Source organism: Homo sapiens, chromosome 11 (assembly GCF_000001405.40).
Source record: "Homo sapiens chromosome 11, GRCh38.p14 Primary Assembly".
NCBI classification, from domain to species: domain Eukaryota; kingdom Metazoa; phylum Chordata; class Mammalia; order Primates; family Hominidae; genus Homo; species Homo sapiens.
In genome coordinates, this window is record NC_000011.10 from 4,753,525 (window position 1) to 4,770,360 (window position 16,836).

General features: G+C 34.4%; 2 protein-coding genes and 1 non-coding gene across 4 annotated transcripts in view; 2 read left to right on the forward strand and 1 right to left on the reverse strand.

Annotated features, from left to right (window-relative positions):
- MMP26 (matrix metallopeptidase 26) overlaps window positions 1-16,836 on the forward strand; it is a 287,646-nt gene that overhangs the window by 48,741 nt on the left and 222,069 nt on the right. For both annotated transcript variants that reach the window (NM_021801.5, NM_001384608.1), the window contains exon 2: window positions 13,746-13,817. The gene's annotated coding sequence lies outside the window, so the exon portion shown is untranslated. The remainder of the gene's footprint in view (window positions 1-13,745; window positions 13,818-16,836) is intronic.
- Window positions 3,121-3,273, forward strand: LOC124900304 (small nucleolar RNA SNORA62/SNORA6 family). The gene has a single exon (XR_007062999.1). It is a non-coding gene; the product is annotated as a small nucleolar RNA SNORA62/SNORA6 family (small nucleolar RNA).
- On the reverse strand, window positions 15,455-16,414 carry OR51F1 (olfactory receptor family 51 subfamily F member 1). Its single transcript, NM_001004752.2, has one exon. The coding sequence runs from the start codon at window positions 16,412-16,414 to the stop codon at window positions 15,455-15,457; it is 960 nt and encodes a 319-aa protein (NP_001004752.2).

Below are 16,836 nucleotides of genomic sequence, written 5' to 3' on the forward strand. Positions count from 1 at the left end.
TGCTTGCTCATAATAGATATTCAGTATGCATTTGTCACTTGATTTTCCTTTATTTGCTCTTCCTGAAATATTCTATTTAACTGTGATTAGGCCTTGGTATAGAAAAATAATTGACTAATTGTGATTTGGAATCTTAGAGTTATTAACTTAGATACCAAATTTCATTTACTCCATTTAGCAAGCAGGAAAACATCTCTTTTCAGTAAGTACATTTACCTAAGAATTCACCCCAGGTAAAGCCCATTCATCTTGCCTCATTATATATGTTTAATAGGGGAGAGATGTTTCAGTTCCTATGAACCTGAAGCTTGATATTCTTCTTAGTTTGTAACACAAAATACTGCCCCGTTTATGATTATAAAACCTGCTTCTGTTGTGATAAAAATCAGTGAGGCAAATAGTAAGCTTGTTTTGTAACATGAATGCCCTGGTCTTTAATCTGATCTTTGTTCTCTTATAGGATTACTCAGGTATGTAATATTGTGTTAATGATAAGACCATTTCCATACTTTGCTCTAATTATTTTACATAGACTATTTCATTTGAGTCTTATGACAAACCTAAAAGAGAGATTTTTTTTTTTTTTTTTACAGATGCATAAACTAAAGTTTGAAAGTTTGGATAAATTGCCAAAGTTCATAAAAACTGAAAGATATGATATTGGAAATCAATCACAGAAACAAAAAGATGCTAAAGCCTGGGCTATTAACAACTATACTACACTGTCTAATAATAATAATGATGATAATTATCGTATACTTCTTCAGTTAATATTTATTTCTTAATAAATAGAGCAAATGTGGGACAGATATCTATATTTGAAGATTTCTGATTATTTAAAATTTGTATGGCTCAGACGTGAAACAATTTTATTTCAGGATTGTCCATGTATTATATGAAATGTAATTAGATTACTGAAACTTATTTTTTTGCAAATAGTAAATACTTAAGATAATATTGGATGCTATAAATCAAATTAATCCGTTGTGGAAATGACATATTTATTATAGAATGAATGTATTAGTCAAAATATAATTTTAAGTTTTTATGATTTCTACTGTTTTTACAAACCATTCAAGTTTATTCTCATTAAGCGTGCCCATTTTTACACAAGTTTTATCATCTAATTGACTAGTACTTACTTATAGCTGTAGATGGAAATTAGTTTGGCTATTTCTCCAAACATGTTGTCTATTTCTGTATACTTTCAACACAGGCATTCCGTGGACAATGGATTTTATATATTCATTTTTCTACTTTAAAGCTTTTATCCTCTTTTCAGACTAATCTCCTGAATATTAGAGCCACATGTCTAATTCGTTGATTCTTCCACCTTAAATATCTCAAAGCAAGCTCAAACACAATATGATTGCATCTAAATTCAGTCTTCTTCACAGAACCACAACCTGTATATCCTATTTTCACCACTTTGATTAATAGCTCTATGGTAGCTCTATAGATCTATAGATTTATAAATCTATGGTAGCTTCATATATGAAATTGCCTAATTCAGAAATCTGCATAGACTTTCACCTTTCATCGGTTGATCACTAATTTCTGTTTTTATTGGACTCTTTCTAGTTCACACACCATGTCGCTATCAGTTTTTTCTAAGATGTAAAGTAGACTTGCATTTTAAAGTGATTTTAATCGGCACTATCTGAAAGAGTCTTTCCCAACTTTCTATTAAATTTTCATCACAAATAAAGAAAAAAGAAAAAAAACACAAGCAGCACTGATACTAAAACTGATGGATATTCTAAATCCAGAAAATTTGGGAATGATTAACTTCTCCGAACTGAGGAAAATGGAGATGGATGTGGATAGATATAAAGTCAAAATATCAGCCCACATTGAATACATCTCCATAGTCTATACTAAGGAATGTGGAGTCTGTACCAACATAAAAAGTTGGGAACGAGCCATTTATTTTTATAGGATGCTTAACTATAAAGTAACAAGGATTTTAGTCTTGTATCAGACATCTCATCTCAAGAAAAAGTAGCCAAAAATAATGGTATAGGGGTGGCACTGGTAGAGATACATTGAATTTTGAAATTAGTATTAGCCCATGTACAAAAGAGAGTGAAATAAAACAGCACATTTTGGGAATTTAGGTTTACAATTTCCCCTCCGATTTTAAGCCTGCAAAGAAATATACAGTGTTGGTTGAATGTTATCTGTAGGCTGCTAGAAACTGGAAATTATACCAGAAACTGCATTCCACATAATAATGCTTATTGGGATAGCAACCATGAGCAAGCCCCATACATAGCTTTTAAGAAAAAAAATAAAAACTGAAGATGTCTTGTTTTGCACTAGAGAGTATATAAAGAAAAAAATACTAGCATAAATCTTTAAAATATTTCATTAATAAAGGAACAACATCTGGAAAATCCAGAGCATGAGCATATATGAAGAAATGTAATAATGTCTGTAAACTATGTAGCATGTTGCCTATCACATCACAATGACTCAGTTATCAGTATCTCAAATGTAAAAACTTCTGCAGAACTAACAAGAAAACATCCTTAAGGTAATGTAGGTAATAGCATCATATAGCATTATGGAAAAACAAAGAACACATTGGAAAAATGTCAAAATAATAAAATACTAAAAAATAGAATTAAAGTGCACATTGAACATAATCAAAAACAGAGTCAAGGGACAGTAATTAACTTAGTTCAATTTGGAGAATGCATTTGAAAAATTCTCTCATAATGCATAGAAAAAATACGGTGCAAATAAAATAATGAGAAAATTATATTTGGGAAGGGCACAAAATGAAAAGCCAACATACAAATAACTATAGTCTCAGGTACAGTAAACAAAAATAAATACAATAAAAATGACTGTTCCAAAGGAAAGACTCCAGTGTATTGAGGATGAAAGGGCTCATTGTATTCAAGGTAAAATCAGGAAGATAAGAACAAGCATAAAATATTTGACTTAAATAAGTTTTTTTTTTAAATTACAAGCTTTCAGGCAGAAAATATGGATTTCCTATAAAGAAATGGAAATTAAGCCGGTTTTACAAAAAAATTAAAATATTAAAAAAGTCCTTTATAAAACATGGCATTCATGACGCAGAAAGAATAAAATATGTGAAAACAGATGGAGATTGCACGTTGTTGGAGCTTGGAGTTGGTGCTCTAACTGGCTGATAAACTTGCAAGTGTAGGTAGTATGCTATGTGAGGGGCAAATTTTTCAGTAACATGACAAAGGTCTTTGGCCTAGTGAGTAGAGTTTGACAATAATCCTCGCTGCAAGTATAATGTTAAAAAAATTACAAAAAAAAAAAACTAAGACACTGACGACTACAAAGCTTTGCTGAGAGATATTTTAAAAGATGTAAATAAGTGAAGAGACATCACATGTAAATGGATTAGAAGACTCAATAGCATAGACATGGCTGTTTTCCCTTAATGGAGCTATAAATTTAATGTAATATCAACAAGTCTTTTTTTTCTGTAAAAACTGACACTCATTCTATAATTTATACGGAAATGCAAAAGACTTACAATTTTGAAATAGAAGAAACAACCTGGATTGAAAACTTAACATTAAACCAATGCAATTAAGACACATAGCATGAGGACAGTCATACAGATTAATAGGACAAATTGGAGAGTCCAGATTTAAACACCTACATTATAGCCAATTGGTTTGTAATAAAGGTGTCAAGACAATTAAATGAGAGAAAGGATAGACTTTCCAATAAATGGTGCTAGAACAATTAAATATCACTATGAAAAAAAATAAATAACTTGGATTCTTAGCAAGCACTGTCCTAAAAAACTAGCTCAAAATGGATTACAGACCTAAATGTAAGAGCTAAAAATCAGAAACTTCTAGAAAAAAAATCGGAGAAGATTTTATGACCTTGGGTTAGGCAAAACATTATTAGATACCATATTAAAAGTGTGAGCCATTAAATAAATGATCAATATCAGACTTCAAACAAAAAAAAGTACAATTTAAAAGTCACCATTAAGAAAATAAGAATAGAGAAAACAGACTGGGAGAAAATATTTGCATAAAAAACTCATATACAAAAAATGTAAAGAACTCAATAAAGAGACAAACAATCCAATTAAAAATGGGCAAAATATTTGAATACACATATCACCAAAACATATATAAAAATGACTAACAAGCCCACGAAAGTTGAGAATTAGGAAAGTAAAATTAAAATTAAGAAATAAAAATTTAAACTGCTATAAAATACCTTTATCCACCCACTAGAATGGCTATAAATAAGAAACAGAAAAAAAGAGAAAAAAAAAAGGGAAAGGAAAGGAAGGAACGAACGAAGGAAAAAAAATACCAAGTGTTGATAAGCATGTGGAGAAATTGGACACATAATACATTGCTTGTGGACATGAAAAATGATACAGCCACTTTGAAAAACAGATTGACAGTTTCTTAAAAATTGAAACATAAACTTACCATATGATCCAGAAATTCTACTCCTTGGACTCTACCAAAGAGGAATGAAAGCATATGTACACACAATACATGTATACAAGTGTTCATAACAACATTATTCCCAATAGCCCAGAATTGAAACAATCCAAATATCCATCAGTTGATTAACTGGTGAACAAATTGTGAAATATCCATAGGCTAAAAAGCTATTCAGCAAAAAGGAAAAAATTGCTAATAAGTGCTACAATATGGATGCACCTCAAATATGCTGAGTGAAAGAAGCCAGATGCAGGATATTACATATTGTATGATCAATTTTAATGAAACGACTGGAAAAGACAATATTTCAAAAAAAGAAAGTAGGGCAGTGTTTGTCTCTGAGACAGAATTAGAAGTACAGGAAGAGGCACAAGTGAACATTGAGTTACGTATAAAGGTAGACTTTTAAACCGGTATAAATAAAGTGAGCTATATAGAATAAAAGGAGTTAGGTAAGCTGATCATCCATTTGGAAAAAAAAAAAAAAAAAAAAACTAAAATAAAGCATAGCACCGCAATACATACTGAAATTATTTTCTGATGGTTAAATATGTAAATATCAAAAAGCCACATACAGTTTAGAATAAAATGCAGGTAAATATTTATATAATCCTGTAGTAGAAGAAAAATTTCTAAATATAAAACCAAAGATATAAACTGTAGAGGTAAACATTGATGTATTTGATTTGGTAAAATTCAAATAATTGTTTTATAGCAAAAACAACTTCCACAGTTTTAAAAGGGTAATTATAAATTTGGAGAAATATTTGAAGCATATATAACATTCAATTGAATAATGTGTTTACTATACGACTTTTAAAAAATGACAAAAAATTGGCTGGGCATGATGGCTCACACCTGTAATCCCAGCACTTTGGGAAGACGAGGCGGGCAGATCACCTGAGGTCACGAGTTCGAGACCAGCCTGACCAACACAGAGAAACCCCGTCTCTGCTAGAAATACAAAATTAGCTGGGCATGGTGGTGCATGCCTGTAATCACAGCTACCTGGGAGGCTGAGGCAGGAGAATTGCTTGAACCCAGGAGGCAGAGATTGCACTGAGCCGAGATCATGCCACTGCATTCCAGCCTGGGCAACAAGAGTGACATTCCATCTCAAAAAAAAAAAAAAAAAAAAAAAAGACAAAAAATTTGGCAAAAATAATTAAAAATGGAATTCTCCAAGGGACTAGTAGTTAATACAGGAAGAATTTTCAGTCTCACAGTCAGCCAAAGAAATGCTAATTAAAACAATTGTTATTAATGTCAACAAAGATTAGTAAGGATTGTTAGGCTGCGGGAAATCTGGCACAGTTGTGTCACGGAGTGTTTAAGTAAAATTTGTCAGTTTTTCAAGCACTTAAGACTTCATTTCCTTTCAATCAACAATTTAATTTCTCTGAAATTACTAGTAGTATTGACAATAGCCACTGTTGCTAGTGTGCATGTCATGTGTCCATATATATAAATTATTCCTTCATCTTTTGTTAATTACTTCTTTGAATAATAAATATTGAGTGCCTACTTTGCACACTTAACCCTCAAAATAACCTTTTATTTTCAAGGTAATAAACAATGTTTATAGACAGATTAAAATATTACATATGAGACCGTGCTAATTTCTTAAATTTAGAAACTGGCCTTATTCCTCATTTGTACTAAAAGAGCTTAGAACAGATTGCTATATCCTATGATTAGTGGGAGAGAAACAACTTCTATGTTTTTAAGTTATTAGCTTCTTTGGTGTTTTCCAACGTAGTGTTTCTTCATCTAATCCAAGGACAAAAATGTCACCAGTTTGCACATGCGTTGTTTCTCGTCATCTCTAGAATGCACAAAAGAGGATGGCTGTCCTGGTCTTGGTCTCAAGGCAGGCCCACAGTCTGGGCCTGATATCCTTTCTGCATTCGCCACTACCCAGTCGGCCTCTCGCTAGTCAAATCTTAATTTCTATTGCTAAAATTCATGGGTGTAAGTAGACATAAGTTGGAATCTGTGCCTGAAGATTTTAGGAAATGAGCACAAAGGCCTTATTCTTATCTAGCCTCTAATTAGTAAGAGTACTCAAGATAAAGAGTATTTTATTTTATAAAGAGGAATATGAAGTCAGATTTTCTAGATTATTAGTCGTCTCAGATAAAGACAAATCTGGAGTTAGATCCTCCTTTGGAGAAAAATCAGTTATCATCATATGATTTGTCAAAGCAGTGACTACCAATACAATCTCCATAGAATGACAAAATGATATTTCTGTGATTGAAAATGCCATGGATTCATTTAATTAATTAATTTATTTACCTCTTTATAGAGAAGGATTTAAGATGGATCCTTTATTATATATTTTCTGAATTTAGGAACAGCATCTGTGGAATGTTACAAAGCTAACCACCTACATGGAGGCAAAGCAATGAATGTACAAAGTGCATGATGACCTGAGGCACTGAGATAACCAGCCTTAATATTTGAGGCTTTGGCTGAAATATGAGCCAGGTGGAAGGTGAGAAAATAGATGAGAGGATGGATATAATCTCACAAAGAAGAAAAATTAACATTGAGCCAGTTTCCTTGCTACGTATCTCTACATGTGTAACTTTAACAGCATCATTAATAGGCTGTGACTAATATTCCCATTTTTCAGGTGAGGTTAGAGTGAATGACTTATTGAAGTTTTCCATTGATAGATTTCATGGAGCCAGTGTGTGAATCCAGGACTGTTTGACCCAAAAGATGTGGTCATTTTACTGCCACTCTATCTCTCTGGTGTTGAGAATCAAATTAAAAGGAAATGCATCAGATTGATGCAGACTTAAGAGACACAATAGAATAAATGGGCTGGCATAGGTGTAAACCAATTCAAAATATAATTTAAGTAATAGTGAGTGTGTGCCAGTGACTGTATTTTGGGATTTGGTTATTATTTATGGCAGGAAATACATACATATAAGAAGTATAATTTTTGCTATGATTAGCTTAATGTATGAAAACAAAACATCTATATGGAATTCAGGATTTCTGAACAGGCAACAGGACCATAGAAGTGAACAAAACAGTGGAGGGTGAGTGGAGTTAGAAGCTCAAAGGGCTTAGAGGTCAGGGACCAAGGGTAAGCGGGGAGAGCCTTACCTTTCAAGGTGTGGAGAATTGAAAGGGATACAAATAGCAGTGCTGAAGGAGCAATGCCAGAAGACTAGGTGAATTTTTGTCTTTAATTTCACTTCCAATAAATTCTTCCTTGTGTTTATCTATGCTAAATCACTCATGATGTAGTTTAAAAGTCATCAAGGGCATTTATTAAAGACACAATTAAGTCCTGTTTCTGATCGGAGAGCAGCCACTTGATTTGGGCTTCAGAAAGGGAGGAGAGATTCCCTTGCTCTTACTTACAGTGGGGTATGTGAAGGTGACCCATTTATCTCTATGAGTGGAAAACTTCTATAAGGAATCTTAATTGTAGAGTCATTTACTCAGCTGGGATAAGTGTGCCTCTGTGGGATTTTTGCACCATTCTGTTACACTGCACTTCTTATCCCATTGGGTCAGTTAGCTAGCATCAGGAAATTTGGACGCTTAAGTGGAGAAAAATCACATCAGGGAAAATAAACGTATTGACCCAGGAAGTTTGTGTTTACACATTTCAATTAAAAATGAAATTGAATCATTTCTTTAGAGATGGATAGTGCATTTAAGATGAGAGTCTAGTATTTTTTCTTGGTTTTTGTTCTGCTATATGTTTCTTGTAAATAATGTGTTATATAGATTTTTGTGTAAAGTAATTTGGTTGCCAGATGATTTGAAAGTATCTCCAGGTAATAGCATAATGCCAGTTCCATAGTACATATATTTTAAATATCTGTTAGAATAAACAAATGGATTTCTACAATTTGGAAGCAAGCTGCAATATAGAATGATCAAGTCAAGGGCTCCATGGGAACTGACTGTTGAACAGAGGAAAGAAGTTTTAGCAGGTTGGGAACTCAAGTGGAAGCAACTACCAGGAAAAAAAAAAGACCTGGCTTTTCCTCAAGGATTATATTGATTATCTGTACAGTGATTATTGTTTTATTGTTTTCCAGTCAGGTACATTATATTATTTAATCTTAGCTGTTCAAGCTAAAGCAAACCAATATTTACTTGATAAGTACTGATGAATACCATGCTTGACACAAAATCAGTGGTCAGTAATATTACTAAATTAATTTATTCACCTCTCTTGAAGATCCATTTCATAGTATAGAAAAGAGAATTATATGAACAAACACAATAGAAGTCATTTTATCCAAATTTGTTTTAGTTAATGTTTAGGTTTGCTTTTGAATAAGGTTAATTACATATAGGAGTCAGAAAAACAATTTTAACATACATTGAACATTTTATTTAAGTTTCCAACTTATAGATGTACTTTATTCACAATATTTTGATGTAGAGTTAGGGCCTCTTAATACAGTTTTGCAAACTGAAATTCCATATCATCTTTGCAAGAACCATGTCTTTAATACAAATTATGTTATAATAATCAAGATAGTCAAGATGAAAGTACTGACAGCCTATAGATTACTTATTGGGACCAGTGAGAACGTGCTATTTAGAAAATAAGCTGTAATTATTCAACTGGCAGCTATCATCAGGTAGTATATTTTCAGAGGAAGTGAAATGTCTGGTTAATCTAGCAAGTTTGTTCAGTAGAACTTATATAAAAATCGTTGTACTTGTTGCTTTGTTATACACTTTTAGAAAAGTGGAAAAACAGAGAAAAAGGAGACTCACTAGAATGGGAGGCAAATAGTTCATGTATTTTCTTTGCCGAGAGTAAAGTTCCAAGAACATTGTGTGTTATATAACCAGGAAACCTGAAAACTGGTCTACTAATAACTGTAGCTCAAAGAAAAGACCTAGCAATGGATATCAGTTTCTTTTTCAGCAAAATAGAGTGGTGGTACAATCCCTGAAAATTTTAAAGAAAAGTACACAGGATTGGGATTTAGTATCTTCTTGGCAGGTGAAATGTATTTACAATTTGGGAGCAAGAGAAAATAATTAAGCCTATATTAAACAATATTATAATTCCATTATAAGATTAATCTTACATCTATGTTGAAAATAAGTTAGAATAAGGAGAGTACTTGATAGAATGTGCCTTGAGAGAGATTCTGAAGACACAGAATGGTGAAGCAGGCAGTGAGAAATGATATGAAGTCTGCATCAAAGAAGCCGTATTTATGTTAAACGTTACCAGTTTGAATGGTGAAAATAGACATAAAGGCCAAAGGAGACACTGACCAATCAGGCTTGGCTGGCTGAACAAAGGGTGGCATCATAAAGGGAGATGAGAAATTTTCAGTTTTCAGTTTTGATCAAATAGAAATTAAAACAGAAAGTCATGTTGCCAGAAGTCTGAGGAAGGCATAGTCAGGTTTCTTCAATGAAAGAATATTGCCTTAATTACTTTACACCTTTCATGATCAGGAATAATTTCACTCATCAAAACAGAGTCAGATTACTAATAAAAGAAACTAATTAATTTGGTTTTGGACTTGCTGAATTTGGGGTACTGAAGGGCATGTGGATAATTTTGGCAGGATGACATGGCTAGAAATACTTCATGAGAGTACATGCCCTTCAACAGCATGCTGTATTTATTTTCATATGTTATAGTGTTGATAAATACTATAAAGAATGAACAAATAAATGCATAATTATGTGGAACTTAGTTTTGGCTAATGGGTTTCTTTTCTGTTTAACAAAACAGCAATGAGTAAGGAAACACAGACAAGCTGCTGTAGATTTTTTGTAGATGATTTTGCACATTTTTAAATTCTCCTAAATTGTCACAGATTAATAATTATTAGTTATCTTAAAGTTTAATAGTATGTAGCACTATTTGTTATTAATATTAAAGTATTTAGTATTAAATTTGATTCCTAAAATAAAAATTGGATTCCTAAAGTTGTCAGAATAAGTAATTTTATAATGCAATAAACAGGAGAATTTTATAAAGCATGTAAATTACACAGAAGGGATATTTTATTGTGCCTCTGCCTAATAAAGTAAGATTTTAATGTTTATTACTTTTTAATCTTTTCTTCAAAATGTCTCATTCTGTCTCTGTTGACCTGCAGGAAAGATGTGGCAGGTTAATAAATTTGTTTACTCCATAATTTTATGTAACTGTTTTGTTATTCATCTAATCATGATTTTGTAATCCTTAGTACTTTTGCCTTAAGCAGTTTTGCTAAAAGGGAAATTTTAAAGTTGACAATATTTTTTTGCTTATTCAGTTTAATCCCCAGGATAATGACCATTGCTTTAAAACATGTCATTAATTAAATGTTCTTAGTGCACTTTGTTGGATAAAGAGAGGTATATGAGTGGTATTGGCTAGTTCTTTGGCAAAAAATATTTCCCTTTTTCTGATAAGTGTCCCCAGAATAGAGATGGGCCCAATATACTGGGCCTGTGCACATGACTTGATTGGTTAATACTAGACAGTTAGGTATGCGACCCAAGCAGGGCTAAAGAGATACTCTCTTAGGATGATTTTTAACATTATATTTCAAAATAATTTCTGAGCTACAAAAAATCTGTACAAAGAATACTGGGCAGGGCGCAGTGGTTCACGCCTGTAATCCCAGCACTTTGGGAGGCCGAGGCGGGTGGATCACGAGGTCAGGAGATCCAGACCATCTTGGCTACTAACACGGTGAAACCCCGTCTCTACTAAAAATACAAAAAATTAGCTGGGCGCGGTGGCGGGCGCCTGTAGTCCCAGCTACTCGGGAGGCTGAGGCAGGAGAATGGCGTGAACCCGGGAGGTGGAGCTTGCAGTGAGCTGAGATCGCGCAGCGCCACTGCACCCCAGCCTGGGTGACAGAGCGAGACTCCATCACAGACACACACACACACACACACAAAGAATACTAACATTTTCATATATCCTTTATGCTGAAACTCCATTTCCTGAGTATTTGAAACTTCAAGGGAGACACATGAGGACATTCAAACATCTGTTGAGCAACCCACAGCTGCTCTGGCTTCTCTTTGTCTCAAGATTTGGTTGCTTGGCTTCTCCTTGTAACTCCTTCCCTATTTTCCTCTTAATTCAACAAATGTGATGGTTATTAAAATATTCTCTTCATATGTCGGAGCATGGGCACTAACAGCCCTAGTTCATCGTCATATTCTATGTAAGCCACATTGCCCAGGAGCTGTTTCTAGGCAATCACTGACCATGGCAGAGAAACTGAGGAAGGTCCATTTCTAGAAGGTATAGAACTCTGCTGACAGGTGTTTTGATTAGAGGATATCCAATGACATTGACTAAATCTGTTCAGAACTGCACCACATTCTAGGATGCTTCTTTCTACCCAAACTTCCTTCCTTCCTTCTCTCTTTAACTCAAGGTCAAGCCTACATCAAAGACTGACAGGTCCTGCTCCTCTATTCTTGCCTTCTTTTTGTAGTAAATGTTACCTAGCCCCTTGTTGGCTGCTTGTCTGTTTGGAAACAGGGAGTTTATGCTCTATTATCCATGTGCACACCAACTTGCTTGTTAAGCCCTCTTGTCTACCCTTCAGATCTTGTTGGTTCCTGTGATAATCGTAGCTCTGGCTTTTGGTGGTTACCTACTGCAACCTGGCTTCTATTATGTCAAGGCCTCCTCATATGCGTGGGTAGCCTGGCTTGCTGACTGCAGCTACTGCTGGCCTCTGTGATTAGTGGAAAAGAGCTACCACTCAGCTTCTTAGAGATGCTGGTATCATTTTCACAGCTAATTTCCAGTGGCTTCTGAACGATGTGTCCTCTGTGCACTTTTATGGAAAATGTATGGTGAGTCTTCCATCTTTACACAGTCTATTCCAGCATGCATACTTTCATCAGCCTCTAAATTCTTTCCTTTTCCATCTACTAGGGCAGCACAATCATTTTTCCAATATGCTGAATGTTGTCCAACACTTTTTCTAGCTAATTGTCACTCAGTAGTAAATTAGCTACATTCCTTGGTGTTCTTGTTAAGGTGTTAAAATTCGTATTCCAAATAAATGTCCCTACATTGATGCATTCTTGCTAATATAGTCTTCTATTCAGACCTCCTTGATCAACCATTCTCACTATTCAATCCAGAGGGCATTTCATGGATTTTTGCCATAAAATGCTTGCTAATTTTTGCTATTCTTCGGGTTATAGTCTCTTTCTTATCTTACTAGGCCCAGCACATTCCCAACAGATTTATGCTGGAATTTAATGCCAGTGTTCATTCTGGTGGTGAGAACAAGAGATGGAGAGAGCTCCAGGAGATAGAATTATGCGAAGTGGTGGAAATGATTGTTCTTACCAGAGAAGTGTGGGCCACCTCTGCAAGCCCAAGGATTATAAGGACTTTTGCATAATCAGTGTCTTCATGGGTCACTCACCCAGGTGCTTCTACTCGGTGTTTCATGGTACTACATTTTTCCCCGGATACAGATGTAACATCACAGACCTGCTTGGGTTGAGTACAGTATTTGAGGAGTTCTTTGACTCTAACAATTAGATAGAAATAGTCTTAAATAAGTTCATTCTTTCTGGCTATAGATTTTCTGTTGCTACAATAAAAAGTGATTTAATTAACTCACATCAGTAAATGGGTATCCTTGCTTGGTGTAACAAATGGGCTGTTTGGAAACTTATTTAAGTTACATCCTTAATTTCTCTCCCACTTTCCTTTCCCTCCCTCCCTCCCTCCCTCCCTTCCTTCCTTCCTTTTTTCATCCTTTTTCTCTCTCCCTTTTTTCTTTCCTCCCACGGTTTCTCTCTCTCTTTCTCTATGACATTCATTTTTTGCAGTGACTCTGACAATTTAAAAATTTTCTGCTGGTGGCTGTGCTATCGGTTCGGAATATTGCGATGAGTGCTTATTGTGATAATGTTAGTATATATTACATTATTTTACCACATCTATCTTTCTGATGTTCCAGCAGCTAGCAGGCATGTAGAATTACTCAAGAAAAAGACTCTCACATATAAAAGTCAGAAAGTGTAGCCAAATTTGTAAACTAAATCGATAAACAAATTCATTTACATAATGGCATTGTTTTATCAAAAGGTGTTTTTAAAGCTACTAACACAAATTTTATAATCTATGTTCACCTGGGGAAAGCTGAAGAAGAGAGAAAATAGAAGAAAAAAGGGTTTGTGTTTCATAATTTTCATGCCTATGTACAGACAGACCTTAAAACTCAGAAGATAATTCTTCCATGAATAGTAAAATTGTCATATAATATTTCTTCCATTTTTCCACAGAGTTTCTTACAAAATCGTCCTATCCAGCATGCACTTTTGGATACTCTTTCAACTCAGAAGTCAACATAAAGGGTAAAATTTTACTTTTATATTATGAATTATCACCCCAATAAGTCCATTATTTCATGACTTTTTGTTCATGTTGATGTTTTACACACACAAGATTTTAACCTTCGTGAGTGCACAGTAATATTTTTTATTGATCTTTTATTTTTTGTTGTTTCCCACGAGGTCAAACATAAAATATACCTACAGTCACTGTGTGCTGATAAACTGAATATTTAAAAACAGAAAAAGTTCTCAATGCTATTAAATTAAATTGAACAATGCTATTATATAAATATTTAAAAGAATTTTTACCAGTTCACATGGTATAAAAATTATCATTATCAGTGATTTCAAGCTACTAATATGACATCATATAATGCATAGTTAGATATGCAAAAATAGGCTCTTGCAAGCTGGTGTGTGCTCTCTCCAGCACACTGCTGCCCTCAGTATTTGTGGGGTACCTGGTACATTTCTTCCACCTATCACTATTTTTCCAATGGCAATAAAATTGATGTGACTGCCTTTAGGTTTCCATCTCCATTTCCCTCTGATTTTATTCTGCCATTATATGCAATTGACATTTTTAAGCTTCTGTCTGTCTCTTAAATCCAAAGAGTTACCATAAGTTCGTTTTCAGAAACCAAACATTTTGTGTCTGTCTCTGTAAAACTGTGTATAGGCAAGAACTATGAATTCTTTACCTTGGTTCTTTAGCTGGTTAAGGAGTCACATAGGTCTTTAATGGCATTTGTGAAAACTGTGAAAACTATGGAAAATAATGTGAGTATGTTTATCTATGGGGAAAGGTCCATAAATTTCATTAGCTTTCTAAGGGACCACAATGCAGAAAAAGGTTCAGAACATCTGCCCCAAACTTCCTTGTAATTTACTTTACATTCTTTTCTAGTTCTCTCAAGTTCCCATTCCCTGTGATAAATTAGCAAGTGTGCCTCACCCCTAAAGCTTTTCTTTGGACTGTCCAACACTGGATAGTGACTCACATGCCATGACATATCTATTCCTACCTTTTGTATTATGAATTATCCATGAAGAAAACAGCTAGAGTATATTCTAAGAAGGTTACTACAACTTTTTAAGACAAAGGATGGAACCATGGAGATCCAGGTCTTACTTTTGATCTTAAAACATTTCTGCTACATGACTTTGGCAGAGTATGTAATACAGTGATGAAGAGCATAGCATTTGAGATACAGAACACCTGGGTTCAAATCTCAACTGTGCCTCATGTTATTCACATGGCCTTTGGGGGCCTAAATGTCTATAAATCTGTTCCATCATCTGTAATATATCGCTAATAGTAATATATATTTCATTTCGCTGTTTTGGAAGAATAAATGGAATATGTCTTAAAAGCAGTTAGTAGAACACCTAGCCTGAAACAAAGAGTCAATACATGTTAATTGCCAGGAGTATTATTTATCATTTCATTATTGTTATTTTCCTAATTCCACTACAAATGTCTTGGGTGATATATCATACTTATATTTTATGACCAAATATACAACATATTTACTATTTGTTTGGTGAATGAAAAATATTTTAAAAACCCACATGCAATAGGCAGTAAGAGAGCAAGTTCGCTTTTCTACAGTGCAAGTCATTCATGCCAGGTTTGTATCAAATAAAACTATGTCTGTTCATTTTGTAAGCAGCAGACTGAGCATAGCCTTGCGGATTTGTTTTGTTTTTACACTGTCGATGATGGGGTTGAGCACAGGGGGTAAAAGCAGGTATACATTAGCCATCACTGAATGGACTACTCTGGGGGCTGACCGACCATAGCGATACACCAAGGACAGGCTCAGCATGTGGATGTAGAAGAAAGCAACTGCTCCCACATGGGAGACACAGGTGCTGAAGACCTTGTGCCATTCTTCAGGGGAGGCAATTCTGAGGACAGAGTGAATAATTAAGATATATGACAGGACAATGCATGGTGTATCTATTCCAGTGGTCAGGATGAGATCAATTAATCCACAGATGCTATTTGCCCGAATGTCTGAACATGCTAATTGAATCACATCTGGATGGTAACAATAGGAGTGAGAAAGGGCATTCATTCTACAGAAATAGAGAGGCTTAAGGAGCAAAAGTAGTGGCAATATTAGTACTATAGCACGTGTAATCATCAGAAGACCCATTTGAATGATTCTGGAATTAGTGAGAATGGTAGTGTACCTCAGAGGGTCACAGATGGCCACATAACGGTCAAAGGCTGTAGCCACCAGCACTCCAGATTCCATAAAAGTGAATCCATGAAGAAAAAACATCTGGACAATGCAGCTATATAGACTGATTTCACGTGCCTCAAACCAGAGGATACCTAATGTTGTTGACAATGAAGAAACAGTCAAGCCCAGATCAGTGGCTGATAGCCTGAAGAGGAAATAATACATGGGTTCATGGAGACTCTGCTGGGTAATGATGACAAACAGGATCACGCTGTTCCCAGAGAGGGCAATGGCATAAAAACAACAGAAAGGAATGGAGATCCAGACATGGGCAGACTCTAGGCCAGGAATGCCGGTCAACAAGAAGGTTGGAAATTTAGATGTTGAGTTGCTTAGGATTTCCATGGTGTCCTGGTTTTGCAGCATTTGTCCTCACAATGCTTCCATCCTATAGAAGTGATACATTAAGTGTTATGTAAAATATTTAGATACATTTTCTTTTAGTTAGTAGAGTTATCCAAGGTCATAGATAAGATCTGCATCATTGAGAAACCTTTAAATTAAATTATAATGTTCATCTACCACTCATAATCAGAAATAGTTCACAAAAATATGTTTTTGTACCATAAAATTCAAGGGAAATATGTCCATATGATTTTATACATTTTCATGATAGTGTCCATTTACAGAATATATTAAGATGCATCATATTGTAAGATTATTTGAATAAAGACTTAGCTGAGAAAAAATAAGTATCCTCAATTTTGAATATTTTGTGAGTACAATGAATAATAGCCACTTAAAAATATCCATGGTTCTTCAGTGACCATAAGGGTATGAGTCTGCAG

What these genes read in the sequence shown, in the direction of transcription:
- OR51F1 (NM_001004752.2), bottom strand. Translation starts at nt 16,414, where the DNA reads ATGCTGCAAAACCAGGACACCATGGAAATCCTAAGCAACTCAACATCT.